This window comes from Homo sapiens, chromosome 13, assembly GCF_000001405.40.
Source record: "Homo sapiens chromosome 13, GRCh38.p14 Primary Assembly".
Taxonomy (NCBI): Eukaryota; Metazoa; Chordata; class Mammalia; order Primates; family Hominidae; genus Homo; species Homo sapiens.
This window is the reverse complement of record NC_000013.11, coordinates 37,036,484-37,051,041: the sequence shown is the minus strand read 5'-3', so window position 1 is coordinate 37,051,041 and position 14,558 is coordinate 37,036,484. Positions and strand designations below refer to the sequence as shown.

The following is a 14,558-nucleotide window of genomic DNA, read 5'->3' as shown; positions in this document are numbered from 1 at the left end:
CTGTTCACTGACTTACAGTCACTAAACATAGTTAGGAGTAGGCATTTAACTTTTGCCATTAAGAAATGACAGACTAAGGGAGAAAAACACTTTTTAATGTTTTAAAGAAGCAGCAGCATTTGACAGAGAATAAATGAACATTGACCACCATGTTATTTATTTAGATAACCCCTATTCTGCGTCACAAACTTCAGAAAACATCTGTCTTCCTTCTCCTCTTGGTTCTTGCCTATCTACTCCTCCCCTATTAGAGAAAAGTAGAAGTATCACAGTGGGGTTCTGACAACACCTTGTATTTTGCATCTATATTACCTAATCATTTTCCTCTTAAGTTTTTGAAGGAGATAATGAATGAATGATGCTTTTATTTATGTATGTATGCATGTCTCACTAGACCCTTTGAAGTTTTAATTTCAGAAGATGAAATATTTACTTGAGATGACTGGCTGTTTAAAATTGTCCTAGACTATATATATTTGATTTTGTTTATTATAATTTTTTGATACAAACAAATTTTATGGGCAAAATTTAAAAGAACCTTCTGTATTTGTGAAGTGTATATGTACAGAATTATGTTTTCATGGTGGAACATGGGATCAGGGAAAATGGGAGTCAGGAATCTTAACTTGAATCCTGGGAACCAGTTTCATTGGGAATCCGCTTCTTATAAGTTTTTTTTTTTTTTTTTTTTTTTGGTAGTGACAGAATCTCACTATATTGTCCAGGCTGGTCTTGAACTCCTGATTTCCCACCTTGGCCTCCCAAAGCTTTGGAATTACAGGCATGTGCCACAGTGCCTGGCCAAGATTTTTTAACAAAGCAAATTAGTGTAGATTTATTATAACTGAACGTTTTGAAAAGATGGCAGATTTCAGACTTTGTTCACTTATCATATTTAGATATTTGATAATGTGGGTTTTTTATTGAACAGTGCAAGAAGGCCCACTATTTTTGGAATTATACAAATTCTCCATCCTTAGGACTAGGTGGTCACTTAAAAGTTCCCATGATTTCCAAAGGGTGGCAGTATTTGTTTTTCCCCCTTACCCTCCTGGGACTTTGGTGGGTGGTAGGAGTTTTTACCCACATGCAATTTGGTAGGTTGAGGTATTGGAATCTGCAAAATAAGACAGAAGAATTTAAGTCCTTTTAAATAAAAACTGAAAGTTCTGTGCCTCTTAATAAAATTTAAAAATGACTATCATTATGAATGAAAAAGACTATAAAACAGAAAACTAGAAAGAAAACCACTGGTGGTATATTTGGGTTTTGTTTTATTTGTTTGTTGTTTTTGTTTTTTTTGAGATGGAGTTTTGCCCTTTTTGCCCAGACTGTAGTACAATAGCACGATCTGGGCTCACTGCAACCTCTGCCTCCCGGGTTCAAGTGATTCTCCTTCCTCAGCCTCCTGAGTAGCTGGGACTACAGGCGCGTGCTACCACGCCCAGCTAATTTTGTATTTTTAGTAGAGATAGGGTTTCACCATGTTGGCCAGGCTGATCTTGAACTCCTTACCTCAGGTGATCCTCCCGCCTCAGCCTCTCAAAGTGCTGGGATTACAGGCATGAGCCACCATGCCTGGCCATGTTTAATTTTGTTTAGAACCTAGTACTTTTATTCATATGTGTCTTTAGAAATGATGGCTTTACAAATGAAGACATAGCATAGCTTCACCATGTTTTTTCCTCGTCTCTAAAAAATGAACGGATAGGGATCTACTAGTAGATCTCAAACCTTACATGTAGTAACAGTAATATATTTCATCAATTCTGAGGTTCATTTTCTTTTATATTTTAATATTACTGAATTGATGATGAGTTGATACTCAAGAATATCTTAGAATTGATAGCATATTTTTTTCTGTCTTAATGTTATGCAGAATAATGATGCATGCTTTCAATGGCATCTTGAATTCATTGAAACATGGCAATGATAGCCATCATTTATTCTTTCTAGGCACTGAGCTAGAGATGTTGTAGGTTTTTTTCATTAATATATTAGCAATTTCTAAGTTAATGTTAAGTGCCAGTACAACCGCACTCTCAATTTTCAAGATTTTTAGCAGATGAGGAGAGTTTAGCCTTTGGTTCATTTTGATTGTATACTTTATGGCCAGTATATTTTTTTGAATGGTGCTCTTAAAAATTAATGTCTATGAAGTGATGATAGCTGCCATATCCAAACCTCCCCTATATTAGCCTCACAAACACTGACCAGAGAGACCGTGTAAGCATTCTTATTTAGTTTGTTGTTAGTAATCAGGTGCCCAAGACTCATATTTTTTCTTTGTTATATATATATTGATCATAGAGTGGAGTGGAGGAGACAAATAAAGGAAAATATATTAGACCTGTTTTAGAAAACATTAGAAATGTTAAATGTATATTAAATTTTTTTGTGGAAATAACTAATATTACCAAATATACTATTTACTTTTTACAGCAACAAGCTTTAGAACTAGCTTTGGATCGTGCAGAGGTGAGGTGTGACTAAGTTACATATTGAAATAGTGTTGTCTTTAATTGACAAAAGCTCAGTTTTAAGAGATTTTTGTATGTGATTTTTAAAGGAGCACATTACTATTTTAGGACAAGTATGCATATCATTTTGCTGTAAATATATAAAAATACCAGGTGATATTTGGATCACCTGTTACTTGGAATCCTCAAGATAATAATGTTACAGAATAAAACTTACTTGAAGAAGGATATAGAATTTCTAAAATTGTATTTTCCTGTTTTGACAAGTTTTCTAATTACTCAAAGGAAAAAATAGCTAAGGTATACAGTATACAATTTTTCATACAGTAAGCATATTTTGAACAACCATAAAATATATTGATAATATTTCTGACCTGTGAAGTCATGGTTGTGAAACTATGATTTTGCTTATGGCAATGAAATACTCTGCTAAATCGTGGTGCAGTTCAAATTTCATTTGTTTGAAACTTATCTTTAGATGTTAAGTAGTTTTTCCTACAAGATGTAATTCAGAGAGTTAAGTGAATAGCCTTTTTAGCCTTACGTATGTTTTAGATATACTCAATACAGTTGTTCATAGTCAAAAGCAAAAAGCAAGCTGTTCTCATAAACTTTTGTTTTTTAGTATGTCATTGAAAGTGCCCGACAGAGACCTCCTAAAAGGAAATACCTATCAAGTGGAAGGTATGAATAATTAATTGGTAACATCTTAGATTCATTGAAATATGATGATAGCTACCTTTTATTGCATTCCTCGTAGGGACTGAGCTAGAAATTTTATAGGTTCTTTGCATGTATTAGGAATTTCTAAGTTGATGTTAGCTACTATATTCAGCTCCACCCCAGTTTTTGGGAAATTGAGGCAAAAATGTGAAAATTTAGGAAAAAATTAAATAACATTCATGTCATGATGATTACTCTGTTAACATTTTATATATTTGTTTCATTAAATTTTTTTAGAAAATCTGTATTTCAAAAACTTTATGACTTGTATATTGAAGAATGTGAAAAAGAACCTGAAGTTAAGGTAAGTATACATTTTTATTATGTTGTAGCTTTTGAAATGTAGAAGAGAGGAATTTGGAGGAGTTACATTTGGAGTATTATTTTTGTGTGTGTGAGTGAACTAACATCTTTTTTAACCTGACCCTAGTCAATTCTGTAGCTGACTCAGAGCTCTGGCTAATCTGGCACCAGGCAGAGATCACCTGCTGAGGTAGGAGTGAAGGAACAGTTATATTGAGTATCAGACTGTCTCACTAGGAAGTCATAAGCAAAGCCACAGTATATATTATCTTTTGCTTCTTCTTCCCCCGAGAAGTGATTTATGAGTTTATAGCACTTCCTCCTGAGAAGTTATTTACAGATTTATAGCAGTAACCTGTTTTCTCATGATGATTTAAACTGGAAAGCCAGAGCTATTACAGAGCATGTATGAAATTCAAGTACAGTAATAAAAAGTGAGCTTGGTCATAAACCGAGTTCATGGCCAATTTAACTTAATTCATTTTTATTTGGCATAAAGATATGGGTAGTAGACATGTAACAGAAGTCGATTTATTGATGTCTTGGAGCCCTCGGGTTGGAAGGGTCTAAACGTCTCTATGAGCTTTTGTTGTCTGTCTTTAAAAATGAATACAGTTTTACTATTTAGGCCAAAAACAGTGGAATTCCAGTAGTGTCTAACTTTAAAATCTTTACATTAGGAAAAAAATTATTTTTAAACTTATAAGTAAATCTTACAGTATGTTTTTCATAAGTTCTACTGATACATACTTGACATACAATAAATTGTACATGTTTATAGATTTTTTAAGTTTTGACATGTGCATTATAGAAACACCTCATGAAACCATCACTACAAGCAATAGAATGTACATATTCATCATGTCAGTGACAGAACTAAAATAAGAGAGCTACATATATGAAGATTCTAAATTGGAATTGGCAAGCCACTCTCCACCAGCTAAATGTGGCCTACTGCATGTTTTTATAAATGAATTTTTATTGGAACCCATCACACCTGTTGGTTTGTATGTTGTCTAGGCCTGCCTCACAGGTACAAAGACACATTGAGTATTGCAGCACAAACTATTTGGCCCACAAGCGTAAAATACTATCTGGCCCATTAAGAAAGAAAATTTGCAACCTCTAGTCTAAATGGGATCAACTCTGTGGTAGCTAATTTGTTTTGTTGAAGAGGTACACATACTGTAAAAATTTATCTAATTCTGTCTTAAGTCAAATTATGAGGGTTTTCTCTACACTGAAAAGACTAACATTTTAAGTCTCTCTTTACTAGTTTAACATCAAAGTGGTTAAAAGTTGTTTGCCTTTTTAAAAAATGTTCAGATTGCTTAGTGTTTTGATTCTATGGTGATGACAGATTAAGAATTTATCACTTCTTTCTGTATGTGTGTATGATATATGTTTAATATATATTTACTAAATATAAGATATTCAAAACACTTTGATTTTTGAGATTCTAAAAAAATTTACTGTTATTTTTGCTAAATAAGATTTGATGACATGATTTGTTAAATCTGTAAGTAGGTAGGTTTTATTTTAAATTATAAGCATTTTTAAAATCATGGACTTTGTTGTGGTTTTTAAGGAGCTGTTGAATTGGATTTATAGAAAATGTCCAAATTGCTTACTTCGTCTTACCAATTAGATATTTTTAGGTTCAACATTTCAGCTTAGAGCTGTTGAACTTGTTTGTATCTTATTTAGCCTATAAAATATTTAAGAAATGTGCACTTCTTAGATACAACCAAAGAGAATGCCCCAAATTCTTTAGGTTAGACTTCTACTTAGTGGAAACTGTATGCTTCTGTGTTTTATATATTTGCATTTAATGGTTTTATATACTACTTATTTAAATATTTTTATTTCTTAAGTATTCAAAAGTACTTGTTTTATATTTAAGTGCTTTTATTGTGTTATAGGTCACCCATTTTTAAAATATGAATTAATTTGCATAAAACATAGTAGTAAATAAAAATTAAGTTTACATAGCTGTCCCATACGTAGTGGCTATAGTTTTGTGAGCCTTCTCCATTTATTCAGAATCATAATGCAGAAAGAGCACCAAAAGGTTAATTCAAGCCTGATTTTGTTAAATCATAGCATTATTTGTTAAGGTTATACTGGATTATTTTCATGAGCTCTGCCTCTTTTTAAAGCAGAAATTAAGAAGAAATGTGAACTTGTTAGAGAAGCTTGTTATGCAAGAGACTTTGTCATGTTTAGTGGTCAATCTATACCCAGGAAATGAGGGATATTCTCTGATGCTCAGGGGAAAAAACGGATCAGGTAAGACCCTCTAGAGCACAGCTGCCACAAAATACTTTTGCTAGGCAGGATGTGCGGTTTTTTTAAAGTAGTTTTTTAACCTGCTAAAGCATTTGTCCTTCAGATAGTGATGACCTAGTGATAAAAACAGATTTTGATCCCAGTTTTCTTCCTTATGATATGTTTTGGTAGAATATTAGAAATTATCTCTCTTACAATTATCTTTCCTGAATGTGCATTTTAGAAGTATTCTAATTGATATGTCTTTCAAGTCCAATTATAAAAGCATCTCAGAACCAAAGGAAAGGTTAAAAAAAAAAGGAAAATTATAGAGGCATAACTTACAGATGATTAAAATAGAATTTCCTTTCATTCTATTGCTATTTATATTTTAAGATAGCATACCGTGTTTAAAGGTAGGTAGTCCTGCAGTTTGAACATGAGTCTGAAATCTTCAAAATTAAGCAGACTCACTGCCTTTTGAGTAATTTTCACATATTAAAATATTTCTATTAATACTGAATATGAACATTTCTGTTAATGGTGAATATGAAAATAATTTAAAAATAGAAACACTTCAGTTTCATTAAAGAGGTGTAAAAATTTAATATGATGATAATGTGAATTCTACAAGGAACTCACATAGCTGGAATTTTGTGTGTGTGTTGGTAATTAATTGTAAAGTGTAACACCAAGAGAATTTTGTTCTAAAAGTGACCACTTTTCAGATAAGGCACCAAATTGTCCCTCTGATTTCCAGATTAGATTAATTGGTCTTCAGTGAACTTTCAGTTACTTTGACATTGGAATTTTATCATATTCTGATTATTTTGCTTTGGGCTGTGGTTCAGATTGTGACGTTATGCCAGATGTTTTTTCATAATGTGTTAGGTTTTTTTTTTCCCCCTTAAGAAGGACATTAGGAGGGCCTTTTGGTTTTGTTTTTTATTTTTATTTTTTTTGATCCTTGCTTGGTTGAAATGCCTTTTGGTTTTATTATATATAGTTCTTTGAAAAGCCATTTGAATTATACAGCTAAGCTTTCAGTGAGCATGATCATTTTCAAACTTCATGTTTTAAATTAAGATTCCGAGACCATTCGACTGCCCTATGAAGAAGGAGAGTTGCTTGAATATTTGGATGCAGAAGAATTACCTCCTATTTTGGTTGATCTCCTAGAAAAATCTCAGGTACAAAATTTTTGTCTTTAAAATGTCTTTATATTTGTTATATGTATATGATATATATATGTCACATTTTTATGTATGTATACATATATGTATATAAACGACTACATGATGTTTCATGACAGATGATATTTAATTTCTATCACTGTTCCCAACAGCCTTTAGAACATGAAATCAGGCTGGGCTTTGGTGGCTCATGATGCCTGTAATCCCAGCACTTTGGGAGGCTAAGGCAGGAGGATCACTTGAGCCCAGGAGTTTGAGCTCACTACAGTCTCAAACCCCTGGGCTCAAGTGATCCTCCTGTACCACTGCAGGATTAGAGAAGGAAGGATTAGAGAAGGAAGAGGAAAACCAGAATTGCAGTGATTGCACCACTGCACTCCAGCGTGGGTGATAGAGCAAGACCCTGTCTCTAAAACTAATAATAATAGAAGATGAAATGAGACATATATAGCTATCTGGAAATGGGCTTATTGTCGGATATTTAACCTTTAGGGTATACTGAAACGTAGAGACGTAGTTCTTCTAAAATAGTTAGAACAATTAGCTCATCAATTGGAAATCTCCCTATAGTTACAATCAAGAAATTATGAAAGAAACTACTTTGAATATTTATGAAGTTTTTCACTTGGGGGCCAGAAACTGGCCTTTACATCTGTACTTCTGTTCATAGCTTGCCTAGGTAAGCACTCCCTTGCCCTGTTCTACTTTCTTCTTACTGCCTTAACTTAACCCCAGCCATACTGTGTACTCTACTGAGGAAAAAGAAGACATCACATGAGAACTCTCGTTTCCTCCTAGCACCAGTCGACTAGCATCCCTACCTCTCTCTTCATATCTGCCTGCCTTCCCGTTAAAATAGTTGATGTATACTGTTTATAGACATCCATCCCCTCCACTTGTTTTCTGGATCCTCCCCTTCCTTCTCAAGGACTTAAAATTATAACCTCTCTTTTTTTCTATTTCTCTTTCTCTATTAAATGCAGAATGCAAGCATACTGTGTTACAGGTTGAGCATCTCAAATCTGAAAATTTGAAATCCACAGTGTTCCAAAATCTGAGCACTGACTGACACTTAAAAGAAATGCTAATTGGAACATTTCCGATTTCAGGTTTTTTGATTAGGGCTGCTTAACCTAAGTATAATGCAAATATTTCCAACTCTGAAATGCTTCTGGTCTGAAGCACTTCAGATAAAGGATTCTTAACCTGTATGTCTCAAATTTTAAAAAAATCCTCCCTTGACCTCATATCCTTCTCCAACTACTGCTCTTGTTACTCTTGACAGCCACGCTACTCAAAGAATTTATAGTCATTTCCTCTTTTGCAGATCCCATTCTTTCCACCACCTATCTCATTTGGCATCATGACATCGTTCTGCAGAGGCTGCATTTGTCAGAGTTACCAGTGATCTTCATATACTGAATAATTGGTCACTTTTCTGTTCTCTTCTTAATTGGCCTCTTAGCAAAGATCAGTGGATATAACTGCGTCCTGCTTGAAATGCCTTTCTGTTGACTTCTGAGACATCATTTTCCTGGTTTTCCTCTGCTTTCTCTAATCCTTCGGTCTTTTTTACTATAATCCCTGTTCCATCCATAAACATGTGTGTTTTCAGGTTCAGTCCTTGGCTCTCTGTTTTTCTTTAGTAATATTCTCCCTGAATGATTTCAGCCAGTTTCATGGGTTTTTAAAATGTTACTTAGTCTATTGCTTATATGCCTCACCATGGCCATTCCACCAAGCTCCTAACTTACATATTTTCTTGGATATATAATAGGTTCCTCAAATTTAACATGACAAAAACAGAGCTTTATTTTACCTCCCAAACCAGTTTTATCACCAGTCTCTTCAGTCTAACAGATGACTCTGTCCTTACCTTCCACATTCAGTCCATCAGCAAATGCCAGTCTCTCTTTAAGATACATGATCGTGCCCAGTGCTCTGAACAAAACCTTTGCTTTCCTGTTTGTCTTCATCTTCTAGATCTCATCCTCACTCGCTGCATTCCATCCATCCTTGTCTCATTTCCACAATAAAACACTCCAAGCTTGTTCCTACAGTAAGAACTTCTCATATGTTATTCCCTCTGTCTGGAATGATCTGTCCCTGAAGTGTCTGGCCGTTTCTTGTGATTCAGATCTTAGGTAAAACCTAAGGTTTCTATCTGCACATACAATCCAGATTAGCCCTTCCCTATTTGATTTCCTTTATAGAATTCATCACTATCTAAAATTACTTTGTTCTGTTTACATGTTTATTGCCTGTCTTCCCACAACTGAGAGCAAATGTTGTCTGACTACTGTATCTGTGAAGCTGTACCTGGATAGTGCCTAGCACATAGTAGGCATTGTAGTTGCTCAGTAAATATTTATTTAAAAGAATGACAATAAGAATGACAAAACATGGAGACCACAGTACCCACTAAAAGTTCTGAATGGGTGAAAAACATACTATGAGTGACCATGGCAAGTCATAACTAGCAAGACTTCGATGATAATAGTTCTTACATTTGAGCATAGAAAGGACTGAAAAACTATTTTTCTTTTTTTTTTTTTTTGAGGTGGAGTCTCGTTCTGTCACCCAGGCTGGAATGCAGTGGCCCAATCTCGGCTCACTGCAAGCCCCACCGCCTGGGTTCATGCCATTCTCCTGCCTCAGCCTCCTGAGTAGCTGGGACTACAGGCGCTCGCCACCACACCCAGCTAATTTTTTTGTATTTTTAGTAGAGACGCAGTTTCACCATGTTAGCCAGGATGGTCTCGATCTCCTGACCTTGTGATCCACCCGCCTCGGCCTCCCAAAGCTGGGATTACAGGCATGAGCTACTGCACCCAGCCTGAAAAACTATTTTTCATTTGAATTTTATATTTAGCTTCCCTCTTATTAATAAAGGCTAAGGGCAAAATTATATTTCTGAAAATTTTAGCAGAGCAAATATAGAAGTTATATCTAGAAGCTAAAACACTGGCAAGGTTGGTTGGCAATTTATAACAATGATAAACTTTATAGTAATGACAAAGTTAGTGAAATGTAACAGTAAGCCTGTGAGCTGCAGAAGAACAGCAGTTCCAAGGATCTGTAACATAATAGTATGTAAATGCCAAAAGTCAAACTGTTGACTTGGTAGATGCCAAAGTCAATCTATAATTAGAAACTATTAAATAGTTTTAAATTGCTTCTTGTGTCATAGTGATGAACATGAAATACTTCCTCTGAAAAGGTTTACATAGTGTTAAATCTACCAAGGAAATCTACTGAAGAGTACATACATGAGTGGCCAGAAATGTTGCATGAATGTAAAGAATGCGAAATGTTTGATATAAACCCACTTATTTAGGCTTTTGGAAAAAAAAATGACGTTTACGTATTTTTGCCCAAACAGGTTAATATTTTTCATTGCGGATGTGTCATAGCAGAAATACGTGACTACAGGCAGTCCAGTAACATGAAATCTCCTGGTTACCAAAGTCGGCACATTCTCTTACGTCCAACAATGCAGGTAAGGATGTTTAATTAAGAAATACTATTTTAGATTTTAGTTGGGAGTTTTATTTATCGAATTCTTCATATGTTTGTGCATAGATTAATAAGTTTTTTAAATTTTTATTTCTTCTAGACTTTAATTTGTGATGTACATTCAATAACAAGTGATAACCACAAATGGACCCAGGTTAGTTGTTTTGTTTTTTAATCTCAAACAGGCAAAATATAGGATGAAAAAAAATTATCATTAAGCAAAAGTGATTTTCTGCTTATTTTTATTCAATAATTAAGTTTGATGCTTTATGTGAAAAGCTGGTATTCCTTTATAAGATCTAGAAGTTAAGGGTCTCTTTATATGTGTAGTAATCCCTCAAGTTGCCTAAGATCATTTTAAGGTCAAGCTGGCCTAATATATTCAATGAGATAAAACTTAGTTCTTTATCTCCTCTCAAACAGAAGAAAAATGTTTTGTTTTTACCATGGTTACAAATAGATACTGGTTTTTTTTTTCAAATAATTCAAGTTTCTAAACCCTAGCCTAGCCTATCTTTCTTTGCCATTTATACTGGTTGCCTTGAAATGAGGGGAACTCTCTTACCCCTGAGAATAACCAGTTAACCCCTCCAGTTCTGGCTCAGTGTTATATGAGGGGACTTCAGAAAGTTTGTGGAAAACTGGAATTAAAAGATAATAATAAAAAATATAAACTTTTCTTCTCAATATAAGCTCCATCAAGTTCAAGATGCTTGTAAATGATATCAACCATTTATTTAGTCCACCCCTGAAGAACTGAGGGTCCTGGGAACTGAACCATATCAATGCAATCTTTTCTACATTATTAACTGAAGAAAAATGGGTACTTTTTAAACTTTTTTTTTTTAAGATTAGGAAACAAAAAGAAGTCAGAAGGAGCCAAATCTGGACTGTAAGGTGCATACCTAATGGTTTCCCATCAAAACTCTTACAAAATTTCTCTTTTTTGATGAGAGGAATGAGTAGAGGCATTGTGGTGCAGAAGTCTCTAGTGAAGCTTTCCCAGGCATTTTTCTGCCGAAGCTTTGGCTAACTTTCTCAAAACACTCATAATAAGCACGTTATCATTCTTTGTTCCTTCAGAAAGTCAACAAGCAAAATGTCTTGAGCATCCCAGAAAACTGTTTCCATGATCTTTGCTCTTCATCTGTCTGCTTTTGCTTTGACTGAATCACTTCTGCCTCTTGGTGGCCATTGCCTTAATTGTGCTTTACTATCTTCAGGATTATACTGGAAAGAATGCTTTAGTATCTTGGTCCTACTTGTTGAAAATTTCTATTGAAAGCTCTGCTTTTGCAGCTGATCGGGATGCAGTGGTTTTGGTACCCATCGAGTGGAAAGTTTACTCAACTTTAATTTTTCAGTCAAAATTATTCAGGCTGAACCAGTTGAGAGGCCTATAGTGTTGGCAATTGTTTCTGCTGTTAATCATTGGTCCTCTTCAGTTAGGTTACAAACAAAATGAATTTTTTTCCTCGTAAATTGATGTGGAAGATCTGCTGCTGCAGGCTTCGTCTTCAACATAGTCTTGTCCCTTCTTAAAACAAGTTACCCATTTGTAAACTGCTGCTTTCTTTGAGGCATTCTTCTCATAAACTTTTCAAAAAGCATCAGTGATTTCACAATTCTTCCACTCAAGCTTCACCATCAATTTGATGTTTGTTCTTGCTTCAGTTTTAGCAGAATTCCTGTTGCTCTGGTAAAGGCTGTTTTCAAACTGATGTCTTATCCTTCTTAGTGTTTCAAACTAGGTTCTGTTCAGACATGTTATAACAGCTTAGTACATGTTTATTTTGGTGCAAAAAGTTTTGAAACCTATGTATAGTTTTTTCTTAATACTCATTTTTCATAAACTTTTTAAAGACCCCTTGTATATGAGATGTCCACTCACAAAAGTGTTCAGTTGCCTGACTATAGTGAGGAATAATTACTAAGTCAAAAGAAAATATCAGTAATGGTAGTTATCCTTTCTGTGACATGTGATTATAAACTAAGCTTCAGTTCATCAGTAACTACCAAGTATTGTGTTTTGGTTTGGGCTATAATGTTGTCATCTACAAAAAGATTAAAAGCTATTAAAAGAATATTAGAAAACAGAAAAACTCATTGGTTACCATCAGAGTTTGCTAGGGCATCAGATTCTTACTCTGAAGATTGATAAAGGAGAGAATATAATATTTATCCTGCCCTTCTTGTTATGAACTGTATTTTAGGCAGCCAAGTAACTGAGGGAAAATTCTTAGGAAAATTTCCAGCTAATAGGTGCAAAAGAAATGATAGACTTTTAAAAAATAAAAGTTTGAAAGTCTTAATGAAGTAGTGAATCTAGACAGCAGTATTTCTTGGATGTGAAAACCATTAGATGATAGGTTAATGGGAAATTTTATAATGTAGAAATCTGATCAAACCCACTGATTGAAGATGAGACAGTCAATTATTGTGTACCTCCTGGTTTGATGCAAGAGACAGTACACAACAGTAGTAATAGTACCAATAAAGAACTCTTGTCCAAAAAAAAAAAAAAGAGCCCATATTAAATCAAGCCACTAGTTGTAACTAGCAGTTTATAGGAATTCAGTGAATAAAATAAACTCTTAAGTGACACAATGAGGAAGAAACCAGCCAGATCTAGTTAATGGACATGAGAAAGCAACTGGTTAATTCTAACAAATTCTTATTTAGCAATATTATTAATTGATTCACTTTTTTAAAAAAAATAGCCTTAGTTATCAAGATATTTCAGAGGTTAAGCAAAATAATAGGATTCAGTAAAATATGTTATGTGATAATAGTAAAGAGCCTGTATGTTTGGAATTGGGTATATAGAGTTCACACAATATTAGCAGAGTCATTTTTATTCTTGTAATGTAGTTGAGTTGAGTATAGGATAGGACTGTTACTTCACAGTTACTGAAAAATGCCATAACCCTTTATGACCCTATAGGTTTTGTGAGAGCAGAGGGTTTTGTTTTGCTCACTACCTTATCCCCAGTTCCTGGAAAGGTGCCTAACACATCATAGGTGCTCAGATAGTTTCTTGAATTAATGAGTAGCCACTCTTACAACCTGACCATTCCGTGCTCTACAAATTATAGTCATACCTCGGAGTTACTGTGGGTTTGATTCCAGAGCACTGCCGTAAAGCAAATACTGCAATAAAGCAAGTCACATGAACTTTTTGGTTTCCTAGTCTATAAAAAGGTTACATTTACACTATATAGTTGACCTTGAACAACACAGAGGTTAGGGGCAGTGGCCCTTGTGCAGTCAAAAACCCATGTATAACTTCTGACTCCTCTAATACTTAACTACTAATACCTACTGTTGGCTGGGAAGCCTTACTGGATTTTTTTTTTTTTTTTTTGAGGCAGAGTCAGGTTGCAACTCAGGTTGCAGTGCATTGGCACAATCTCAGCTCACTGCAATCTCTGCCTCCTAGGCTCAAGTGATCCTCCCACCTCGGCCTCCTGAGTAGCTGGGACTATAGGTGCATGCCACCATGCCCAGCTAATTTTTTTTTATTTTTGGTAGAGACAGGATTTCACTGTGTTGCCCAGGCTGATCTCGAACTCCTGAGCTCAAGCGTTCTGCCCGCCTCGGACTCCCAAAGTACTGGGATTACAGATGTGAGCCACCATGCCTGGCGATTAACATGTATTTTGTATGTTATGTGTATTGTGCTCTGTATTCTTAGAATTAACTGTTAGAAAGAAAAGAAAACATTATTAAGAAAATCCTAAGAGAAAATATGTTTACTATTCAGTAAGTATATCATATTAAAGGTCTTCATCCTCATCATCTTCACATTGAGTAGGCCAAGGAGGAGGAAGAGGAAAAGTTCATCTTGCTGTCTCAGGGGTGCAAAGAGATAAAGAAGATGGAAGGGGAGGCAGAAGAGGCATGCACACTCAGTGTAACTTGTATTGAAAAAAATCTCCTAGCTGGTCGCAGTGGCTCACACCTGTAATTCCAGCACTTTGGGAGGCTGAGGCGGGTGGATCATGAGGGCAGGAGATCGAGACCATCCCGGCCAACATGGTGAAACCCCGTCTCTAAAAATACAGAAATTAGCTGG

The 14,558-nt window shown here is 34.9% G+C and overlaps 1 protein-coding gene across 52 annotated transcripts in view; it reads left to right on the top strand.

The window, feature by feature from the left end:
• SUPT20H (SPT20 homolog, SAGA complex component) overlaps nt 1–14,558 on the top strand; it is a 50,377-nt gene that overhangs the window by 8,647 nt on the left and 27,172 nt on the right. For 15 of the 52 annotated variants that reach the window (XM_017020660.3, XM_017020657.3, XM_005266465.4 and 12 more), the window contains exons 3-9: nt 2,443–2,478; nt 3,106–3,164; nt 3,441–3,507; nt 5,669–5,795; nt 6,861–6,964; nt 10,350–10,466; nt 10,584–10,637. In XM_017020660.3, coding sequence (XP_016876149.1) covers nt 2,443–2,478; nt 3,106–3,164; nt 3,441–3,507; nt 5,669–5,795; nt 6,861–6,964; nt 10,350–10,466; nt 10,584–10,637 — 564 coding nt within the window. Of the gene's footprint in view, nt 1–2,442; nt 2,479–3,105; nt 3,165–3,440; nt 3,508–5,665; nt 5,796–6,860; nt 6,965–10,349; nt 10,467–10,583; nt 10,638–14,558 lie in introns of all 52 variants that reach the window. The other 37 variants (XM_005266467.4, XM_005266464.4, NM_001278481.2 and 34 more) reach the window with 3 other exon arrangements.